The sequence below is a fragment of the Homo sapiens genome, chromosome 11 (assembly GCF_000001405.40).
Source record: "Homo sapiens chromosome 11, GRCh38.p14 Primary Assembly".
NCBI classification, from domain to species: domain Eukaryota; kingdom Metazoa; phylum Chordata; class Mammalia; order Primates; family Hominidae; genus Homo; species Homo sapiens.
Window position 1 is genome coordinate 8189239 of NC_000011.10, and position 22055 is coordinate 8211293.

At 47.8% G+C, this 22055-nt stretch overlaps 4 annotated features.

The window, feature by feature from the left end:
• Window positions 3364-3658: an enhancer, noted in NCBI's record as "tiled region #8819; K562 Activating non-DNase unmatched - State 12:CtcfO". NCBI's record gives its function as "activates a minimal TATA promoter and a strong SV40 promoter by Sharpr-MPRA in K562 cells {active_cell/tissue: K562}" and the evidence as "EXISTENCE:reporter gene assay evidence [ECO:0000049][PMID:27701403]".
• Window positions 3702-3751: an enhancer, noted in NCBI's record as "active region_4381". NCBI's record gives its function as "activates an Ori minimal core promoter by ATAC-STARR-seq in GM12878 lymphoblastoid cells {active_cell/tissue: GM12878}" and the evidence as "EXISTENCE:reporter gene assay evidence [ECO:0000049][PMID:35858748]".
• Window positions 3928-4498: an enhancer, noted in NCBI's record as "H3K4me1 hESC enhancer chr11:8214713-8215283 (GRCh37/hg19 assembly coordinates)". NCBI's record gives its function as "activates a minimal SCP1, AML or CMV promoter by ChIP-STARR-seq in naive H9 embryonic stem cells {active_cell/tissue: H9 hESC(naive)}" and the evidence as "EXISTENCE:reporter gene assay evidence [ECO:0000049][PMID:30033119]".
• Window positions 15261-19898: an enhancer, noted in NCBI's record as "VISTA enhancer hs1859". NCBI's record gives its function as "enhancer in: neural tube[8/8] | hindbrain (rhombencephalon)[5/8] | midbrain (mesencephalon)[8/8] | forebrain[8/8] | heart[7/8] | blood vessels[5/8] | liver[4/8]" and the evidence as "EXISTENCE:transgenic organism evidence [ECO:0001131][PMID:17130149]".

Consider the following 22055-nt stretch of genomic DNA (forward strand, 5'->3'; position numbering starts at 1 on the left):
ATAGTAATTTATCTACTTTATTTTAGCCTTTTCATCAATTGGGTAGTTAATAAATTGTTCTTAATGAATTAAATTATATTTTTATTATTAATTTCTTCTTACTACTTTTCTTGGGATGATTTTGTATTTTTTCTTGTTTAGTTGGATGCATGAATCAATTTAATTATTGTAATTGTTTCTTGTCTAATGTTTAATGTGTAGCTAAGCTAGGGAGCACTGGATACACACATGCTACTCTCTGTCATATCACAGGGTCCCTTGAAATTTGGTTTCGGCCATGTGAGTTGCTCTGGCCCATTTGTTGTGAGCAGAAGTGATGTGTGTTTTGTCTGAACTGAGAGGGTTAAGAGCCAGTATGTTTTCTCCCTCCTCTTTCGTCCATTTTTACCACCGCCTTATAGGCCATGAATTCCAGATGGCATAGCTACTCCATCAGCCTACATTCTTAATGACTGTTGGAAACAGGCATGGACACTGAACAAGAAATAACCTTTAATATGTTAAGCCACTGTGATTTCAGAGTTTGCCTTTGGTGCCAGCTATTAGTTACTTATCTTGTCTAACAATGTGTTTGAGACTATGACTCTTCCTCTGAGTAGAGCTTTAGACATATCCAAAAGTTTTGATATGCAATTGAAATAGTTTGGGGTTTTGTTCCCTCCATATATATACATATATATATATATATATACACACACACATAAACAGTCCCCCAAATATATATATATTTGTGTATATATACACATTGTGTATATATATAGTGTATATATACATTGTGTATATATAGTGTATATACATGTATACTATATATGTATATATTGTATATATACATTGTGCATATTGTATATATACATTGTGCGTGTATTGTATATATACATTGTGCATGTATTGTATATATACATTGTGCGTGTATTGTATATATACATTGTGTGTGTATTGTATATATACATTGTGTGTGTATTGTATATATACATTGTGTATATATATAGTGTATATATATGTATGTATATATATAGTGTGTGTATATATATATTATATATATATATATTATTCCCCCCCCACACCTGCTTCCTGAGCTGGCAAATAGGGCTGGGCTGGGGCACAAGCTGCCTGAAACCATCTGAAGGGAGTAAGTGGAATCCAAGCTAATCTATAGGAAAGCCTCAAGCCAAGAACCAGAGAGATGGATTGCAAATGCCAAGACCAAAGGGGAAGAAGGAGCTTTGTGAAGGGTGTGCGTGTGTGTGTGTGTGTGTGGTGTGTGTGTTTGTGTGTGTGTGTGTGTGTGTGTGTTCCTTTTGTTCATTCTCACAGCTGCAAGATACATCTGCTTAGGCCAGCTTTTGAAATCTCAGTCTGGCCAGAACTCCAGGCCCTCCCACCCTACTTAAGTCAGTCTATAAATGCAAACTGCAACTATCTGCCAGGCCCCTCCTAGGCCTGCTGCATTTATTCCTGACTTGCTTCTTCTCAAGTGCCGTGCCCCATTAGGTTACCAATTCTTGGCTCCATCTCTTCTTCACAAATCTGTTTCTTCTCCTTTGGTCTTGGTGTTTGCAATCTGTCTCTCTGTTTTTTGGCTTGAGGCTTTCCTATAGACTATCTTAGATACTGCTTACTCCCTTCAGATGGTTTCAGGCAGCTGGTTCCCCAACCCAGCCCTACTTGCCAGCTCAGGAAGGGGCTGCGAGGAAAATGCCATCCTTGGGTTTCCCTGCAGAGCTCCACCCTCTCTCATTCCTCCTCTGTCTCACGCTTCCTCTGCCGAAGGTCAGATGCACATGCTGCACTGAGTGGGTGCCCTGCGGCCTAGGTGGCCTCAGCTTTCAGCTTGGCATATGGGAATTTTGGAGCTTGTTGGGAGGCCCCAGGGAGGATGGAGACATAGTGCTGCCACCACTGCCGTTTTCAGAGCCTCAGAACAATCTGTATCCTTGGGCCTTTTCCATAAGAGGGAGTGTGGGAATACATATGATTTATAATGTAAACAATATATACCGACAGGATGTGAATGAATAAAAGATGAGTAAATAAAAGCACAAGAATAAATAAGCATCCTGCCTTGGCCTTGCTCTGCGCAGCAAGGGATATGGTGGAAGCATCATGGCAGGACAGGGCAGCTAGTGGCTGCTGCCTCAGCCTTCCTCCTCACTGGAAGCAGCCACTCTGCCCACCCTCTGTACCCTAACCTTGAAGCCCTCCTGACTTCAGCAGATTCTACATTAGGAGCTGACCTCTTCACACTGGGGCAGTTTGGTGCACAGAAAAAGCACAGAACAGATACTAACTAGCATTTTAACTTCACACAGATCAGTATCCCTCCCTCCTGCTATCCTCCAGGCCCTGGTTTCCCAATCTGTAAGTGAAGGGATTAGACTAGATGTCCTCTAAGTCCTTCAGGAATGTCCTTTCATAGTCCATCTTATCAGAAGGGTCAGTGTGATGCACCCTATTTCTGAGCCTCAGTTTTCTCATCCATAAAGTGGAGGTTCTGATGGGAGGTCTCAAAGGGCTTGATATGGTTTGGCTGTGTCCCCACCCAAATCTTACCTTGAATTGTAATAATCCCCATGTGTCAAGGGCAGGGCCAGGTGGAGATGATTGAATCATGTGGGTGGTTCCCCCATACTGTTCTCATGGTAGTGAATAAATCTCATGAGATCCAATGGTTTTATAAATGGGAGTTCCCCAGCACAATCTCTCCTTGCCTGCTGCCATGTGAGATGTGACTTTTGTCCTCATTTGCTTTCCACCATGATTGTGAGGCCTCCCAAGCCATGCTGAACTGTGAGTCAATTAAACCTCTTTTCTTTATAAATTACCCAGGCTCAGGTATGTCCTTATTAGCAGCGTGAGAACGCACTAATACAGGGCTCTTCCACCTCTGATGCTCTGCTAGGTGGCTCTGACTTGCTACCAGAGTTTGCGGCAGAGGCATGCGCGGACACGCGCGCGCACACACACACACACGCACGCAGGCACACACACTCCTCCAGACTTCAGGGCAGCCTGGAATGGGCTTGGTTTCTGGGCCTGCAGCCCTTAGGCAGATTGGCGGCAGCACTTCCATGTAACCTTCCCTCCAGACCTCCAACGGGTTGGACCCTGTGCCCTCTCTCTCCTGGTCCGCGCATGACAGAAGGCATAGGTATCATCTCCTGTCCCAAGGGCCCACATGCCCCAAAGCCCTCCTGCTGCAGCCCTCAGGAACTGTGTGGTGAACCCCTGTTCTGTACCTGCACCTCTGTGCTTGGAACTGAATGTGCCCTCAGGAAGCAACTGTCTAAGGTGGAGAGGTGGGGAAGAGGAACCCGAGAGAGAGAAATTGGTATCCACAGGGGACGTGAGAGAGGGCATAGGGGGCCAGAGGAAGCAGAAGGCAGGCAAGCCAAGAGGAAGGCTGGGGCATCCTCTGGAACTAGCAGGAGATGGTTTTTTCTAGGGACACGACTTCTGGCTTGAGCCTGAACTTAGTGCAGCCTCTGGGTTGCTCCTCCATCCTGCCAGCAGATGGCAGTGTGTGTATGGGAACCAAGGTGAAAACTCCTGGGATCACCAGCAGACGATTCTGCAGGCTAGAGAATAGGAGGGAAATCACTGTCCTTCTTGCCAAAGAGCTGGATGATCAGATAAAGGGTCATGTATCCTCCTGAAGAATCACCCACTACCCTCATGAGCTGCTAAGGGGAGGCTTATCCAGGAGTGCTGGGGCCATGGTGTCCCTTCTTCTTCCAGTAGTCTGGTCTACCCCACCCTGCCCAGTGCTTAGGCTCCACGTGGGTCTAGGTAGGGGTCGGGATTGGCCACAGGCCCTCAGGGCACCCTCCCACTGAGAAGCCTGCCCCTGTGTAGCCAGCTCCTGCCAGCGGCGTTGCCCCAGCTCTCAGGCTGAAGCAGCTTCTGGGCAGCTCTCCCAAGTCCACTGCAGTCTGTGTCCAGGGTCCTGCGGCAAGGATTGGGTCATGTGGGCTCTGAGCCTGTTCCCAGTGGCCCCTACAGCTCAGCCTCACTGACTTAGTCCTGTTCTCAAGGCAAAACCCCATATGTCCACTACAGTGTCCTGAAGAGGGGACCCAGAGCAGCAAACAGCCTGGGCTCCACCATCCCTGGTCTTGGGCTGGCCCCCTAGCCTGAAATGAGAGCTTCCACAGACACCAACTAGCTCTGTCCTGCCTGGGATTCAGGATGCCTGGTTTGGACTGAATCACCAGCACTATTGCAGCAGACAGGACCCCAGACGCTATGGCGACCCCGGCCTGGGCAGAGATGCTGTAGCATCTGCTGCCTTCAGCACAGTCACCAGGCACTGCTCCTCAGGAGGCCTGCAGATGCCCTTTCTTCTTCAGCAGCCTAATAGGGCCTGGGCTGTGGAGTCAGACATGGCTTCTTGTCTCCACTCCACTAGTTACCATCTGCGTGGCTCAGAGCTAATGATTTCTTCTGTGAGCCCCAGTTTCCTCTTCTGTAAAATGAAAGTTTTAATGGTACCTCCATCATAAGATGGTGGGAGTGTTGGCCAAGCCCCAGTGGATGGAAGCTGCTCTGGTTTTGGTGGACACTGCCTGAGAAATACTCTCAGTAGGGGGGAAAGGAAAGGTTAGTGACTGGATTTAAGGCTTGACTGAGCTCAGACTCCTTATTCTAGAGCAGGTCTCAGGCCAGCTGAGGCCAAATCTCTGGGACTACAGCTGAGGAAAAAGAACGCTTTCCACCTGCACTGCCAAGATGGGAAACAGAAGGCTGATCGTGGTGGGTGTCCCATATTGATAATTTTCTGGGGGCCTCTGGGGTCACTGGTATCCTGTGGTATCTGGGTTTGGGCTCTGTCATTGGCTCTGAGCTGAGCTCTGGGCTCCAGGCTCTGGGCTTGGGTTGGGTTGGTCCAAAGAGAATGTTGAAGATTATATTATTTAAGGGAATCACAGTGAGTTCAGCTTGTTAAGTACAGGGTTTGGCACACGATCACTGATCAAAACAGAATGAATGAATGCACACTATTTTTCACTGACCGCAGTTTTCCTAATAGACCCTCTCTGCTGGCTGGGGCCCTTTTCAAATAGGAAGGAGACAGGAATTAAGGGTTCCAATTCTTACACTTTCTGCTTTCTGCTTTGGTCAGCCTCTGTGACTTTGGGTCCTCATTTACAAATGAGACAGGGTAATCTCTATAGGGTCTTCCAGCTCTGGGATGACTGGGTCCTAAAGGGAGAGGGTTAGCAAGGCCTGAGAGCAGAGAGATTCCTTCCTGAGGTGGGAGAGAGGACTTCATGGGTGGTGGTGACTCCCCAGATATGAGTATACACTGGGTGTTGGAAGAATCTTGTCCAGAGAGAGAGGCATTGTGGGCTGGATCAGCAGTGACAGTAGGTCTGGGTGTTTGTGCCATAGCTGCTTCCTGATGGCACATTTTCCTTTGCTCTGCAGCCCCACACCCTGCTGACCCTGGCAGTCATTTCCCCTAGGTTTGTCTTACCAAGACCTGGGGCACAGGTGGGGACTGTTGAGAAGAAAGTTCATAGATGGGTAGTGATGGGATTTGCCTGCCTTTGGATCTGTGAGGTCATGGGTCTTGGGAGATAAGCTTCTGGTTAACTTGGGGGTCATTAGTATACAAGGAACAGAGCATCACTGGGGTCAACCCAAGTAAGGGAGACAAATAAGCCAAGAATCTGAGTCTTTCAGAAACCCAGACGGGACCCTAAAAGTGCAGGGTCTCAAGAGTCTAGGTGGAAGCTAGTTCCAGATCCCTGGTGGCTGGAGGACTTCAGTGACAGGACAGGTCCTCATACTCCTCACCGTGGTGCTGTGTCATTAACCCAACTAAGCCATGCCCAGTGTATCTGCTCCTCTGCCAGATATCACCGTTCTTCTCACAACCCTCTGTATTCTCTCTGTGTTTCCAGTTCCTTTTTACTTACGATTTCTCAATTTCAGCTTGCCATAACCTTCCACAGCCCTTCAGCACTCACGCCCCCATACTCTACTGTAAGACCTTTCTAGATGCATCTTTGTTTACCTTCTACTCCTACTACTAACTGACTTTCTCCAATTTTATAATCCAGATTTCCAAAAGCAAGAATATGATTTGCCATCACCTGGTCAGGTACCAAGTTCTTGTCCAGTGAGCTGTGTTGGGGTATAGCATAGTACAGTATTGCTGCCTAGAGAGGGCAAAAGAAGACGCTTTGATGGCATGCAAGGAGGCTGCTTGCAGTTGAGCAAGTTGTGCCATGCACAAGGGTAACTGACTGAGGGGGAAAGTAGGAGCTGTATCCTATCTGCACCACGTGGCAAGTCATGCATCTTTATGTGGGGCTGCATCAACCCAGAAGAAAGGAGAAAGGGGTGCCTTTGTCAGAAGAGAAGTGGCCCTGTGATGTGTCAGATACTATGATTAGCATATAATCTTTTTGTTACATAGGACAATGCATTTCTTATCTCTTCTCCATTTCACCCTGTGTCTGGTAGCTTTTGCTGCATAACAAACCAACCCTCCCTTAAATTAGTGGCTTAAAGTAATAACCATCTATTATTGCTTATGAGTCCAGGGGCTGGCTGGGTGGTTCTGCTAATTTGAGTCTGGTTTCGTTGCTCCAGGCTAAGCTTCTTTACGTGTGTGCCTTCAGCTGGAGGCTCAGCTAGGGGCTGGATGATCTAGGGTGGCATCGCTCACACAGCTGACAGCTCTGCTTCTGGAAGTTGACTGGACGTCACTTGGGGGTACAGGGGTAACAGGGCTACATGTCTGTCATCAATTAGCAAGCTAGCCTGGACTTGGTCACAGGACAGCTCAAGGTTCAAGGAAAGCAAATGGAAGCAGGTAAAGCCTCTTTTGGTGTAGGTTTAGAATTTGAAGTGTCTCTTCTGCCATATTCTTTCAGCCATTCACAAAAACCACCCCAGATTCAAGGGATAGGAAAAAAGACTCTTGATGGGATATGTTTCAAGTCACATTACAGAACGGAAAGTAGAAGAATAACTTACAGCCATTTTTGCAGTCTATCACACACCACCAACTCTGCCATGATGCTCCATCTGCCGGGGAAGAGGTGACCAGAGAGTGGACCTAAGCATAGCCCAAGGGAGCTCATGAGAACAGAAGTTCATGGGGGTACTCCTAAGCCTTGTATACATATCTAATAGTCTTAGATGTGGATTCAACTAGGTGTGGGTTGGGAGAAAGAAAACATGGAGCTTCTTTTTCACTAAGAGCCCCTATCTTTGCTCTTACAATTTATATAACTTGAAATTATCATAGTTGCCAATGCCTTCCTGAAACTTACGCCCCTGAGAACACTTTCTTAGCCATCATGGGTGTAGGGATAGGGATAGGAGGGATATGCAGATGAAGGAATGAGGTTGAGAAACTGGGAAGTCCAGGTTTTGGGTGGGCCAGAGATATCCCCATAGATCTCTCAGCTCCCCTTGCCTATAGGCACAAAGTTGACCTTGTTCTTACCCAAACTGCTTTGCCTGTGAAGCCTTCTTCTCTAGTATTTCTTATGACCAAAGTCTCCTATTTTTGAGATACTCACACTTCCTTATCCCTGCTTCTACTGTTCTTGTCCTTATTGTGGCAGCTCCTCAAGTCTTCCTTTTTCTAGAACTCCTTCAGACTTCTCCTGGCTTTAGTTCCTCTCTATCCTTCCACTGATCCATTACATCTACCTCTGTCTTGTCAACACACTCAGTTCCATTGACCTCTGTTTTCCTCACTGCCATTGTCAGTGATTTCCTAATCTGGCATCAATCCAAGTACCATCTTTCCTGTCCCTGCACACAGGGAGCTGAGTTGTCCTGGGCCAATTACCCAAACACAAGAAAGAGAATCCTACAAATTATGGTCTCCTTTCTTCCAGGTCCTCCATAGTTCCCACCCATCTCTCTGTCAGTACCCAGCATATCTGTCTCCTGCTTTCCACAGAAGCTATTTCAGAATTTATTTCCTCTCCTCTAACCTCCTGCTGCACCACCAGCCACTTCAGTCATGATAAAAAAAAAAACCCTAAGGAATAGAGACCTTCATATGGAAACTCCTTTCATGCCCTTCTCTATCAATAACAACTTTCAACCTCTTCCTGACTGCTGGCTCTAACTCTAAATAGTCCTCAAACTGCAGCTTCCCCTTCCTCTCCTAGGTGAGCCACTTCAAAGTTATGCCCATACCAATGGTCTATTTAGGTTTAGTTTAGAGGAGGGCACAACCACATGGCTGATACGGGGGCCTGGGTGCCATGTGGGGGCTCCCATCTAAGACAAGACAGGGGCAAGGTAACTCCTACCCCATTTTAGGAAAAATTTGAAGCTCATGCACTTGAAACACCCACAACAAAGTCCAAAGGATAGTGGCAGAATCAGTTTGAGTTTTGGGGCAAAAGTTGAGCCACATGAGATGGTATCACAGGAAAAAGCAGATGAAGAAAGAACAAAGAAGAATGGATCTAGGAGATTTCTTTCAGCAACCTTGGAACATTCAGATAGTCTTCCTTGGCCTTTGAGTGCCATATGCCAAAGGGATAAGGGAAACACTGACTTAGTGTGTGGGAAATGGAGGCCACCAGCTCCCTTCATAGGTAGGGTGAGTCCAGGTTTTCCCTGGATTTTCCCGGAGGAAATGAGGATGTTTCTGAGAAGAGAGGAGGTAGGTAAGACCCTCCTTATCTACCTCTCTTTGGGTAGCCACACTGAACACTGTAACGGTAATAGCAGTCCATGGTGATAGGAGTATACAGGAGACTTAGTGAAGTTGGAGACTGCAGATTCCAGGCTCTTTCCTTGAGGAACAGAGAGATAGGTGAATGAGTGCAAAAGGGGGAGCAGCTGGTTCCTGGAGAATGGCAAGTGATGGCCTGTCTCTCTCCTGGACACCTGCACTGAACTCTCTTTGGTATGGAAGTTCTGACTTCCCTTTTTGGTGTGACAGCCAGACTGAGGGTGAGAGGGAAGAAGAGCCAGAGACTGATGGGATGTCTTCCCCATCCGGGGTGTCCTGCAGCACAGTTCTTGGCACACAGTGGGGTCTCAGTTAATATTTATTGAATGAATGATAAATGACTCTGGATACTCTGGCCATGTTTGGAAGGTAATTTTTCCATTTGTTGCTTTCTTCCATCCAGATGATGCTGTTGGCACCCAGGCTTTATGAAGACTATGCTGTCTGAGCAGACCCCAATGGCCAGATGAGTTCTACCTTGTTAATACCACACCAGATCAATTATGGCAGAGCCAGAGTTCTCCTCCACCCCATCCCAGGAGGTGGTATGCCGTTATGGAAGGAATTCGGGACTAAGAATTAATAAGGACTGATGTTCTGGTTCCTTCATCTTCATGGACTTGTTGAATAAATTTGGAAAGGTCACCTACCCTTGAGACTTCAGTGCCCTCCAGAGATGATAATCTCTGCCCCTATAGAGTTATGGCAAGATTAAATGAGCTAACAAATTGGAAGAACTTTGCAAATCATAAAACATGGTGCATAGGCATAGGACTGTAATGATAATGATACAAAGTGTAGCATCCAAGATAAGATAACGTCTTAACGAGGCAAAATGTGAAAGCTCTTTGAGAGCAGAATACATGGGTGATTCTTCTCTGTAGCCTCATAGGGCTTAGTAAAGCATCACATAGATGCTGAGTAAGTCATTGAATAGAACTGAATTTCATTCTTTGGAGGTCCTTAGTAGTGACCCAGATCTGGAGGTTTCAGGTCCAATGAAGGTAAAGGTCTCCATCACTTGCCGTTCTCCAGGAACCAGCTGCTCCTCCTTTTGCACTCATTCACCTATCTCTCTGTTCCTCAAGGAGAGAGCCTGGAATCTGCAGTATCCAACTTCACCAAGTCTCCTGTATACTCCTATCACCATAGACTGCTATTATCATTACAGTGTGCAGAGTGGCTACCCAGAGGGAGGCAGATGCACAGCATCAGCATCTGCCAATCAATCACTCCCTTTTGGAAACTCTACTTGATGCAAAACTGAAGGCAACAATTAGGCTAACCACATCTATTTCTTGTTATTGGGAGTTATTCATAAGGGCAGCCATAATTATTGTGCATTTTTGTGTCATTTCATAGGTTTCAATGTCTTAGTTGTCTTTGACCAAAAATTCATGAATACATTAAATTATATTAAATTATATTCCAGCCCACTGGTTCATACCTTGAGTGGGATCATGGTGTGTCCTCTGGAGTGCCCACCAGTGCCCACATACCTTTTCCTCCCTCCACCGCTGGCCATTGAGGATGCTTAACCTCAGTCCCCTGGGCACTGTTACAAGATGTTAAAAGAAGAGAAGAAGCTGTGGATTTAGTTAGCTATGAGAGGGCAGGTTTGATCTGAGCCCGAGAGCAGACCTGGGCTCAAAGAGAAAGGACTCCAAGTGCTCAGGAAGTGAGGGATGTGTCACAGAGACTCTAATGCTAGTGGACATTTTACAGCCTGTTTGCAGCTGGACTGGGTGGGAGTGGGAATCCAGATTCAGAAGAGCTCTATCTCTCCCACCTGACAACAGTGGCTCATGGCATGACGGTTCTGCTCTCCATCCTCTCCCTTGTTCTGCTCCTCCAAATGACCTCCCATCCTGGGTCAATCTCCCCTTTCCCCCTACACTCCTCCGGCCATGCCTGCCCCTCACCCCCAATAGATCAATCTCCCCTTTCCCCCTACACTCCTCCAGCCATGCCTGGCCCCTGCCCCCAATATTTGTCTCAGGGAATGAGCCTGGTGTGAGGGGTCCAGACTGGAAGAGAATGTGAGGAGCCTCAGGCCAGGAATGTCTGTGGCTCAGCAGTGTCTAGTCAGCCTGTTCCTGTACACCATTCTGATATTGGAGCCTCAATCCTTTATTCACCTATTTATTTAATAAACAATAATTGAGCATACAAAATGTACCAGGTTCAGTTTAATCATGTTCACTAAAACATGTGAAGTGCTTATGGGAACTCTTTGTAAAAGGTAAACTATCAGGGCTGGATGCCTATGACATCAGAGTTCTTGGTCTTCAAAAGATGGCACCTGGCTCCACTTGCTTGCTCTGTAATTTGGAGGTTAAGTTATTTAATTTCTCTGTGCCTCATTTTCCTATTTTGTAATATGGAAAGCATAATAACAATAGTAAGGGTATGGTAAGGATTAAATGAGGTAATATTAGGTTGAACCATATGAAATTGCCACCATTCAGCTATTTTTCAACCACAGAAACACCAATGTCATATGGTTTAACTTGCCAAAGTACTTAGTACTGTGGTTGGTATAGAACAAACTGCTCAGTCAGTGGTACCTTTGCTTTGTTTTATTTAGATGCTACAAGCCTAACAGTTCTTTCAACTCAACTGTTTGTGTAATGCTAACATTTAGATAGGAAGCTCTTTCTAGCACCACCAGGAACATTTTGACTCCAGATTAACATACTCAGTGGATAGGTTTTACTCAAGACTACCCATGGGGACAATCATGTTAGAGCAGGCAGTGATTGACAACAGTTAAACACGAGCCAAGGAACTACCTAATTGTGTTTAGGAGTTGGCATTTCTTTAGCTCTTATGCAAAGCAATGTTATCCACATTATTTAAATATAAAGCTAACTATTAATGCTAACTCATGTTTTCTCCATTTTTTTTTTTTTTTTTTTTTTCTGAGACGGAGTCTCGCTCTGTCGCCCAGGCTGGAGTGCAGTGGCGCGATCTCGGCTCACTGCAAGCTCCGCCTCCCGGGTTCACGCCATTCTCCTGCCTCAGCCTCCCGAGTAGCTGGGACTACAGGCGCCTGCCACCACGCCCGGCTAATTTTTTGTATTTTTAGTAGAGGCGGGGTTTCACTGTGTTAGCCAGGATGGTCTCGATCTCCTGACCTCATGATCCGCCCGCCTCTGCCTCCCAAAGTGCTGGGATTACAGGCGTGAGCCACCGCGCCCGGCCTTCTCCATTGTTTTAACAGGGTTTTATTTATAGGAAATCATAATGAAGTGGGAATTGTCTCTATACTTAATAAGCGATAATGTGCCCATTAATCACAAATAAATATATAGATATATAAATATTATATTATATATATTATATATTTTTATATATATTATATATAATATATAATATATAATATATATAATATATATATTATATAATATATATTATATATAATATTATATATATAATATTATATATAATATATATATTTATATATATATAAATATATATACACCAGAAACAGGAAGAAGCATGAACATGTCATCTCTGAGTGCAGTCCTCAGTCCTAGAGGTACAGGAAGGGAGTAGGGAGGTGGGATAAGAGTCTGTTTTCCAGAAAGCTTGAGTCCAGGAGAAGCACAGTGTCTGGAAGCCAGGGCCCTAAACAAAGCCCTCCTTCTCATTATATCTTCTTCTGTTAAATGACCCACTCAGGCAGCACTTTCACTGGAATCAACAAAGACTCTGGTCTGCCAGAAACCAGCCAACCCAACCCTGCGCCTAGAGCTCCTCCCAGGGTAGCACTGGTCTCTGCTCCAGTGCCTAGAGGTGAAGAGCTATCTGGCATCTGTCAGCTTTCCATGGGCAACCTGTGAGCAAGGCAGGCTTCTCAGGGTTTCATGGATTTTCTCAAAGCCCCTAGGGTTCCTCTTGCATTTCCTCCAATCAGGACCCAATTCCTAGTTTTCAAGGAAATGAAGCAAGGCTGCAAGCTCTGCAGTCTCCTGGGGCCTTCTGACTTGGCAGAGCAAAATGTACCAACACCTGCTGCAGCTGCAAGCCCCTTCCTATTTTTCCTCATCTCCCTCCTCCAGCATATTCTAGTCCTTAGAAAGCGTGCTATGGGGCTCCTGAATTCCCTTTGGCTTTTAACAAAGAGGCTGTATTTTAATTTACAGAGTCAATGTGAGGAGTGGCAAGGTGAAAGCAGAACATGTGGTTTGCCAGTCATTGCTTTAGAGAAGGAAAGTCCCACCCCACGTGTTGCACAGGAGGCAATGGAAGCTCAGAAAAGAGGAGGGGCTCCCCCAAGGTCACACAGCAAGTCTCTTTTCCTTGCTCTAATAAGCTTTTCTTTCCGCAATATTGTATTAAGTGCCAAACTGTAGGCCACCCCTAAATAAGAAGAACTAGAGAGCCAATCTCAAAGTCTGCATCTCAGCCATAGAACCCTCTGTGTTACGAGGCCCTAGGGAAATGCAACCCCCCAAGTTTGAAGTGAGGAGGCTTCCTCTTGAAAAATCGGTTAAAACGCCCTCCTTTATGCACATGCCAACTTTGACTTCAAAAAGACTTTATTCCCAAGGATAAACAACCCTATGTTTGTGTAATATAATTAAGTGAAGGCATCTTTAAATGTCATACTAGCCTGTGCCCATTTCAAATTGTTATGCATCAACAGAACTTAACGAGATAGCCAAGCCTTCTCCTTGCTGTGAGACTGAGATAAGCCACAGCACTGTGGGCCCTTTAATAGATTGCCAAAATAAAGCATTTTCTATGCAAATTATTCATGCAGTGGGACAGCTAATTGCTTGCCAAGAGCCCGCCCACTGCCTCTCTGCAATTAGTCGTGAAGTTGAAGGAGCTCCAAACTCCGCAGGCGCACTCAGGGCCTCCTGCTCCTATGGCTTGTTTTCAGGTTAGCAGAAACTTTCTTTCCTCTGGTGATAGGGCCTGGTTGCCCTGGCACAGAGACTGTTGAGTAAGGGGAGTGAGGGAGTGGGCAGCAGGTAGATAACTAACGGTAAAGCGGGGAGGCCATTCCTGGACTGCCATGGCCCAGCACCTAACTCGTGTATAATGTGCACTTGGCAGCGGTTACACCCTGAGCTGCAGTTTGCTCATCTATAAAACTGGTTTGGACACTGGTCTGAGGGTCCCAATCATCTGGTGTTTTGAGAACAGGTGACAAAGGGAGTTGGGAGCAAGCTTAGCCCTCTCAAGGAAGGAGCTCAAGGAAGAACCCACTTTGAGCTCATAGGAAACCAGAGACTCAAGGTCACAATAGGAATTTGGAGTCAGAAAAATCTGCAGAGTCCCAACCTACCACCACTCCCATCCTGGCAATTGTTGTCATAGGCACAGGAAGTCTCTATGGTTGTCAAAGTAGAGTCTCAGATAATTGAACCAATGATTAGAGCTCTCCCTCACTCTCACACAAACCAACCGGCTCTCTCGAGTTCTCTTTCTGCCTCTCTCCTAAGTGTGTCTCTGAGTCTCTCAATGTCTCTCTCTCCATGTCCACGTTCTGTTGTTGCCTTTCACTCCCTCCCACCAATAGCTGGCTGTGGAAGCAACTCCAAGCATGGGCCAGCACCCAGTGGCCTCCTGAAACATGACCAGAGCAGATTTGATCTAGGAAAGGAAGACTAGGGTATCTTGCTCTTGCACCAGCTTGTGCAGGGCAATATCCATGATCTGGGATCACACATGCACCCCTCAGAGAGTTGGGGTCAGGACTCTAGCCTGGACAAGAGTACCTTTGGCCTCCGTTTCCAGGATTTGGTGAGACGGGCCAAACCCATGTTGTCCAAAGGAGCACACTTGCTCAGGGAGGGATCAAGGAGCCCCATGAGAGCCAAAGTGACATGCGTGAACATATGTGGTTGGGGAGGAAGGGCGTATTTTTGGTGTCTGGGCAGCTTTAGAAGCTAACTGCTCACGTGGTAGGTGAGGGCCTGGGCTAACCCATGGGTTCTTAGGTCAATGGTTTGCTTACTTAACAGAAGGCTATTTTCCTCATTAGAGTCTCGTGAACACATCAATATGGAAGTTATTTAACCTAGAAGAGTGATGGATAATGGTTGCTTGCCTTTGATATTCTTCAACAGCCTTTTGATACACTGAGAGCCCCGAGGAGGGCACAGATGAAAGGGCCATTTGGTTGGGACTGCAGCATCAGCTCTGCTCCTCCCCATGCTGATTGCTGGTGACTCCGACAGTCCGCACCAGTCAATCTACTTGGCTGAGCTTCCCCTGAGGCCCTGGCAGTTCTAGAAGTGCCTGGTAATCCTCCCATGCAGATGCGGGTGCACTGAAAACCCCTTGTTGCTAGAGAAGTAAATGACCCAGGAGGAACATCACATGGGGCCCTTGCTGCTGATTCACAATGGAGACGAAGGAACTGATCACATTAGCTGGGCAACTTGGGATGTGGCCCAGGAGGCAGGAAGAGCTTCAGTAGCTCTAGCCCTTCACTCTGGTCTCACTCAGAATCACATCCATCTGGTCCTTGCCTGGAACCCCAGACCTGATAACTTCATCCTAACTTGCTCTGGGGTTCAAGGCCCTGCCCAGTCATCTGCCGAGGACAACATAATCCTAAGCTTAGAGCCATCCGTTGCTTGGACCAACTTTGCCTCACTAACCCCCCATGGCCCCTGTGGCTGAGGTCCTGTCACCTGCTGATACCCAGAGTTCCCTGTACCTGGCCCTGTTCCAGGAAGAGCATGGCTCTTGAATTCCTCTCACCAAGCTCCACTGTGTTGGATGAGGGGCGCTGAGGCTGGGTGCATTATGCCTGGTGTTTGCCCCTTACCTTACGGCCTCCTTGTTCCTATTGCTTGACTGGCTCCTATTCAACACCTGAGAGAAGGTGGGGTGCAGTCAGGATGGGGGACTCTCCCTACCCACCTCATCTAAGCTAACTCCAAGTCCAGATCCCACCAAAGCTCTCCTGCCTCAGTGAAGCGGTCCTGCTCATTCATATGCAGAGGCATGACCAAGCTGGTCCCCAAAGGCTTGCGGCTGGAACATGTGGGGCTGGGTTGGGAGAAGGCAGAGCCACGGGATTCTCAGCTCTACCTGAGAGGGCAGGCCAGGAAGGGTGCAGTGATAAAGAGTGCAGTGAAGTGAGAGAAGACAGGGCAGGACGAGAATGTAGGGGACCGAAGAAACACTCAGAAAACCTGACCCCATGATTTGAGCCCTAGTAAGACAATAAAGTCCCCTCCACCTTCTTTTTCCCTAACTTCCTTTTCTTTCTTCTCCTCCCTTCTCCTTCCATTTGCTAAGGGGATGTGCTGAGACTCAGCTTTGCTATGGGTCTCACGGTATCTAGGGGCTAGCCTGGGAGCCCACCTCCCATGTGGAACGTTGTTTCTATCAAACATGCATCTGGAAGGCTCACAACTGTAATCCCAACACTTTGGGAAGCCAAGGCAAGAGGATCACTTGAGGCCAGGGTTTGAAATAAGCCTGGGTAACATAGTGAGACCCCATCTCTACAAAAAAATTCTTTTTAAATTAGCCAGACATAGTGGCATGCACCTGTAGTCCCAGCTACTTGGGAGGCTAAGGGGAGGATCACTTGAGCCCAGGAATTTAAGGCTGCAGTGAGCTATGATCACACCACTGCACTCCAGCCTAGGTGACAGAGCAAGACACTGATTCAGAAAAATAGAAAATGCATTCTAACTCCCTGTGGATTTCTGGAGCCCAAGTCCCGTATAGCCAGAACTTGTCTACACTGTTTGACATGCGCAACCTTGTTCCACCCTGGGCAGGACCCCCATGGGCACGACCATGGCAGCCGGTATCCCTGTCTCTTTGCTGGCCAGTTCTAGTGTTCCCAGAGTACCTTGTGCTCAGGGTGCGGCTGAGGGAAAATGACCCTACACCGCAGGACCCAGGAATTTGTATATTTAATTCTCCCTCTCCCAGGTGGGAGCCTGTGTTAAGACACAGCCAAGGGTGGGAACCCTGATCTCGATAACTGCATCTCAAACTTCAGCGTGCCCTTATCAGAGTCATCTAGGGCAATTAATAAAACATAGACTCCTAGACCCCATTTCCAGAGACTCAGATTCAGGAGGTCTGAAGTGGGCCTGAGCATTTGTGTTTCTAACAAGCTCGCAGATGCTGGATGCTGCAAGTCCATGGACCACACTTAGAGTAACAAGGGTCTGATGCAACCTCCCATTTTCCTGAGACAAAGACCGCACTGAGAGCAAAGCAGGGCAGGGGATACCAGCGGCCCACCCAAACGCCCAAGTCTTTGAGGGCTCAGGTTCCCACTTTAGGAGGACAACAAAACTTACGCCAAACCGAAGCGGGCCTTGTTCCTGCATGTTGGGCCTCTGGCCTGGCCCAGAAGACTGGGCCATCAAGAGTGTTAACCGCTGCCATTGGCTGGTCCTTCACTGACAGCAGAAACTTGGCCAATGGCAATCAATCAGGGGGCCCGCGCTGCCTTAAATACCAGCAGAGCAAACAGCCTCAGACAAAGCTGCGCCGTGTATCAATTACCGAGAGGCTGCGTGCTCCTCTGGGCGGAGGGAGCCGGAGCGAGCGGCCAGGGCTGCTGCCCCAGCTGATAAGGGCCCGCATTGTTCGGGGACAGCTGGCAGCCCGATAAGGGCCTGCTCGCCCGAGATAATGGCAGTGGGCAGGCGCCTCGCGGCAGTTTAGAATTTCTTGGGTCTCCAAGAAAGGTTCTATTAAGCCCACTGACCCCAATTGAATATTAATTAGCTAATTAACGGATTTATTGTTCCACGCCATTTCTGGAGAGGCCATTTTTTTTCGAGTGCCATTATTTTTGTAAATGATTTTTCGCATTGTTCATAATTGAATCTTTGCAGCTGCCAGCATCTTCTGCATGATTTGGCAAAAAAAAGGAAGCAGAAGCACTTAGGGTTTTTCCCCCCACCCTCCCTCTGAACAAATGTTTTCAGCCCCTCCTGCTAATGCTGGAGCGAGGGGGAAGTAGGGGGGCTGTCTCTGTTTCACGGGTTTGTTTTTTAAGCCGAACTGCAACGTCTGCACTCCTTTTTCCTTCCTTTTGTGGGCAGCTGAGGGCCGAGGCACTCCGTGCTGTCCCCACCAGCCCTTTGTCTGGCCGTCTTCAAAGTACTCAGACTTAGCTTTTCTCAGCCCAAACTTCTTAAAGCATTGTGCTTTCTATTAGGGAATACATAGAGGGAACAAGACCCGAGCTTGTCCCACCTCGAGCTCCCGGTGGAGGGAGGCCAGCCCTGAACTGCCAGGGGAGGAGCTCTAGCCAGCTGGGGAGCACTCCTGGTGGGCTCTGCCTGGGTTCCTGTCCCTATCTATCCCACCCTTGCCTTTCCTAGCTGGAGCCCACCCTGGGTCTGGTGGCTCTGGGGGTACAGAGCCCCCATCCCAGAGCCTCTCCGCTGCTCTTTAATAAGTCTTTGCTCCAAATTCCGCACCAGGGTTGCTTGACTCCCTGGCGCTGGCATCTGCCCACAATAAGTTGAACCAGACGGTCCCACAGGCAAATGGCTGATTGAATCAAACCCATTCCTCTGCAGAGGGTCTAGAAGAGGGAGGGTATGTGTGCTGGGATGGGGCTGGCGTGGGCGGCATAGCAATATCGTCAGGCAGCAATGGGGAGCCCCGTTGGACCTCGTAGACCCTTCTTCAGCATCATTAATGAAGCCAGGGGCAGGCAGAGGCTCCAGGAATATTAGTCAGGGCCCCCCTGTGGGCGGGTCTAAGGAAGGCTCATGCCCAGGACCTGCACCTGGCCGCCGGGGGCTGCAGAACTTTATTGGGATTTTTTATTAAGCTGCCTCTTCCTGCCGTCATCCCTGTCCCTATCCTGCTGTTTGTGCTCAAAAAGAGGAATTCCGAGGGCGTTTGTGAGCAGGGAGATGAGTCAGGAAGGAGTTCTTGAGTCTTCCTCTGTAGGCACTGGCTGGGACCACCCATTTCCTTTCCTCTGGAATAGAATCCAGCAGACAGACAGACTGTCCTGGGAATCTCCTCCAGGTGCAAAAGTTGTCGAAGAAACTATATGAGATAATCCGTATGTTAATTAGCCAGATTTAGTCACTCCACAATGTATATATTCTTCAAAACGTCATGCTGTACATGGTAAATGCATACTTTTTTTCCTGTCAATTAAAGAAAAGTTGTAGAAGGGACCCCAAAAGTCTAAGAACTGAAGGTGGCCCTTAGAGTTGGGGAGGGGAGTCATTCAGCCTCTGAACACCTCCAGGGTGGGAAGCTCACTACCATCAAAGCTTTCATATGGAGAAGGGTCGTCCTTACACAGAGTCTGTATGCTCTTCCCTATACCCCACCCATACAGTCTCCCTCTGCTCATGACACCCATTCAGCTAATAATAGTAACAACCATAATAACACCTAACGTGAAGTGAGGATCTACTACGTGCCAGACGCTGTTCTAGGTACTTTAATGCATTATCCCATGTAGTCTTCCTCATGTCTCTGTGGGATTTTTTTTTTTTTTTTTGAGATGTAGTCTGGCTGTGTCACCCAGGCTGGAGTGTAGTGGCACAATCTTAGCTCACTTGCAAGCAAGCTCTGCCTCCCAGGTTCATGTCATTCTCCTGCCTCAGCCTCATGAGTATCTGGGACTACAGGGGCCCGGCACTATGTCCGGCTTTTCTTTTTTCTTTTTTTTTTTTTTTGTATTTTTAGTAGAGATGGGGTTTCACTGTCTTAGCCAGGATGGTCTCGATCTCCTGACCTTGTGATCTGCCCACCTCCACCTCCCGAAGTGCTGGGATTACAGGCGTGAGCCACCGCGCTCGGCTGGTAGGTAGGATTCTGAGGCAGAGAGATGTGAAGTAAGCTATGCAAGGTCACTGATGAAAGTAACAGAGCCAGACACCAACCCAACGTTGCTGGATACCAGTGCCCCCACATGTGACCTCTCTGCTCCACAGTCTGGAAAGCCATGGCTCTAAGACTGCTCTGCTGCGGGGAAGACAAGCTAAGAGGCTGTAGGTGCTTCTCATCTGACAGGGTCTCCCTTCCCTTTGCTGCCTTGGACCTTCCTCCTGAAGCCCAAAGTCCATAGGCGATCTGGCTGGAAGACAGCCTGTTCCTTTCCATGTTCTAGACACTATACTCTGTTAATGCAGCCTGGGTTGGTGATAAAGTTCTTGGTGAGGGGTTGCACCCCTCTACAGCACCCCCCTTACCCTCCGAGGTTCAGACTTATTGTTTTGAAAAGGAGTCCCCCAAATCACCTTCTCCAGTCCTCAGAATTTTGGCAGAATTTGGTCTGATCCTCCCCAAGCAGGTTCTCCTACACCTCCAGAATCTGCCAGGGACTCATTTGATCCCAGTGAGCTGACAGCTGGAGCCCTCCTCTGGGAGTTACCAAGAGAGGGAGGCCTCAAGTCAGAGGCCGGCGAGGCTGCACAGACCTGGCTCTTCCCTTCTGTGAAGGTGACCCATCAGGACACCAGCACCTCCTGCTGGCCGCCCTGGGGGCTGCAAGCCACCCCTTGGGTATTTGGGAGACATTCCTTCCAGTTTCTTATTTTGCAAAGAGGACTGGGGCTCAGAGACAGGAAGAGAACTGCTCAAGTTCACCCAGTCACACTAAGGGGGCCAGACCATGCCCTGTTCTCCTCTGTCCCCAGGGAAGAGCCAGGTGAGTGTCTGATCAGGGATCCGGGAAGCCAACAGTCATACTTGGCTCAGAGGACTAATGGTATCCCTCTCAGAGCCTGATTCTCTGGAAGAGACACCTACTGGCCTACTGGCCACCCCAGTCAGGCTGCCTGAAGTCCTGCAATCCTTCCATGGCCAAGTCCTGGGAGTCAGTATTGCTTAAACCCCATCCCCTGCCTCTTGGATCTTCCTAACTCAATATACTCAAGACTCTCAACAGGAATCTTTTCATCAGACAAGACAACCCAGGCTCCAGCAAGCAAATTTCTGTCCATCTGGGAATGCCACCACTGACAGGGCTTATGGGACCTGGGCAGGAGTCCCCAGTCCATGGGTCACCACTCACAGGCTCAGCAACCTTGGGCAAGTCACATCTTTATGACCATCAATTCCTTAGCCATCAATTATCTCTCTCTCTCTCTCTCTAGAGAGAGAGAGAGAGAGAGAGATTTCTCTGTATATAGGTCTATATAGAGAGAGAGATCAAATCCTGAATCTTAAAAGAAATCTTGTTACATGTCATATATATATGAAGCTCTCGCTCTGTTGCCCAGGCTGGAGTGCAGTGATACAATCATAACTCAGTGCAGCTTTAAACTCCCAGGCTCAAGCGATCCTCCTGCCTCAGCCTCCAGAGTAGCTGGGACTACAGGAGCACACAACCACACACTTGGTTACTTTTTACGATTTTTTTGCAGAGGCAAATTCTCACTATGTTGCCCAGGCTGATCTCGAACTCCTGAGCTCAACCAATCCTCCTGCTTCAGCCTCCCAAAGTGCTGGGATTACAGGTGTGAGCCACTACACCCAGCCTGAAAAGATATATTATGAACTGGCAGGATAGAGGTTACATTTGGTAACCTGAAAGGGGGCACTGAGAAGAACTTGGGGGATATATTATAAACTGGAATACATTGATGCATATGAACTTTATTTTCTTTATTTCTTCTAAAAAAAAAAAAACGGGATACATGTGCAGAACATGCAGGTTTGTCACACAGGCATACATGTGCCATGATGGTTTGCTGCACCTACTGATGGGTCCGCTAATTTCCCTCCCCTTAACCCCCAACCCCCAACAGGCCTTAGTGTGTATTGTTCCCCTCTCTGTGTCCATGTGTTCTCATTGTTCAACTCCCACTTATGAGTGAGAACAGACGCATGTGAACTTTTAAGACAAAACCTGAATCTTAAAAATAATCTTGTAATATGGCAGACCACACTCCAACACTCTCTGATACCTCTGATCATTGGGACCCTTCAGAGAAAAACTGTGAGACTCACATATGAAATCGCTGGTGCACAATGTCAGGGGGTCCCGATGGGATAACTAATAATAGTAGAATTTTGGGCTCCAGGCAGATGGGTTGGGGGATATTCTGGGGTCTAGGGGAGCCCTGCCAGATCACAGAGAGGCTTCTGTTTTTTCTGGAGGCAGGACCAGCTGCAAGCGTCCAGCTACCAGGGGACTCATGTCTTTTCTAAGAAAAGAGAGTAGGGTGAGTAGCTTCAGGCTTGGTCTAGCAAAGCCCCGTGGCCTTTGGGTTCATTCTTCATTGAACCCAACTGTCTTACACAGGATGACTCAGATTTTACTTCAGGAAAAATGACTTAGCTACACAGAGCTTGAGGAGCAGAGAAAGGTGGATGGAGATGGGGATGGTCAGAGGGAGACAGGGGCAAAAAAGGAGGGGGA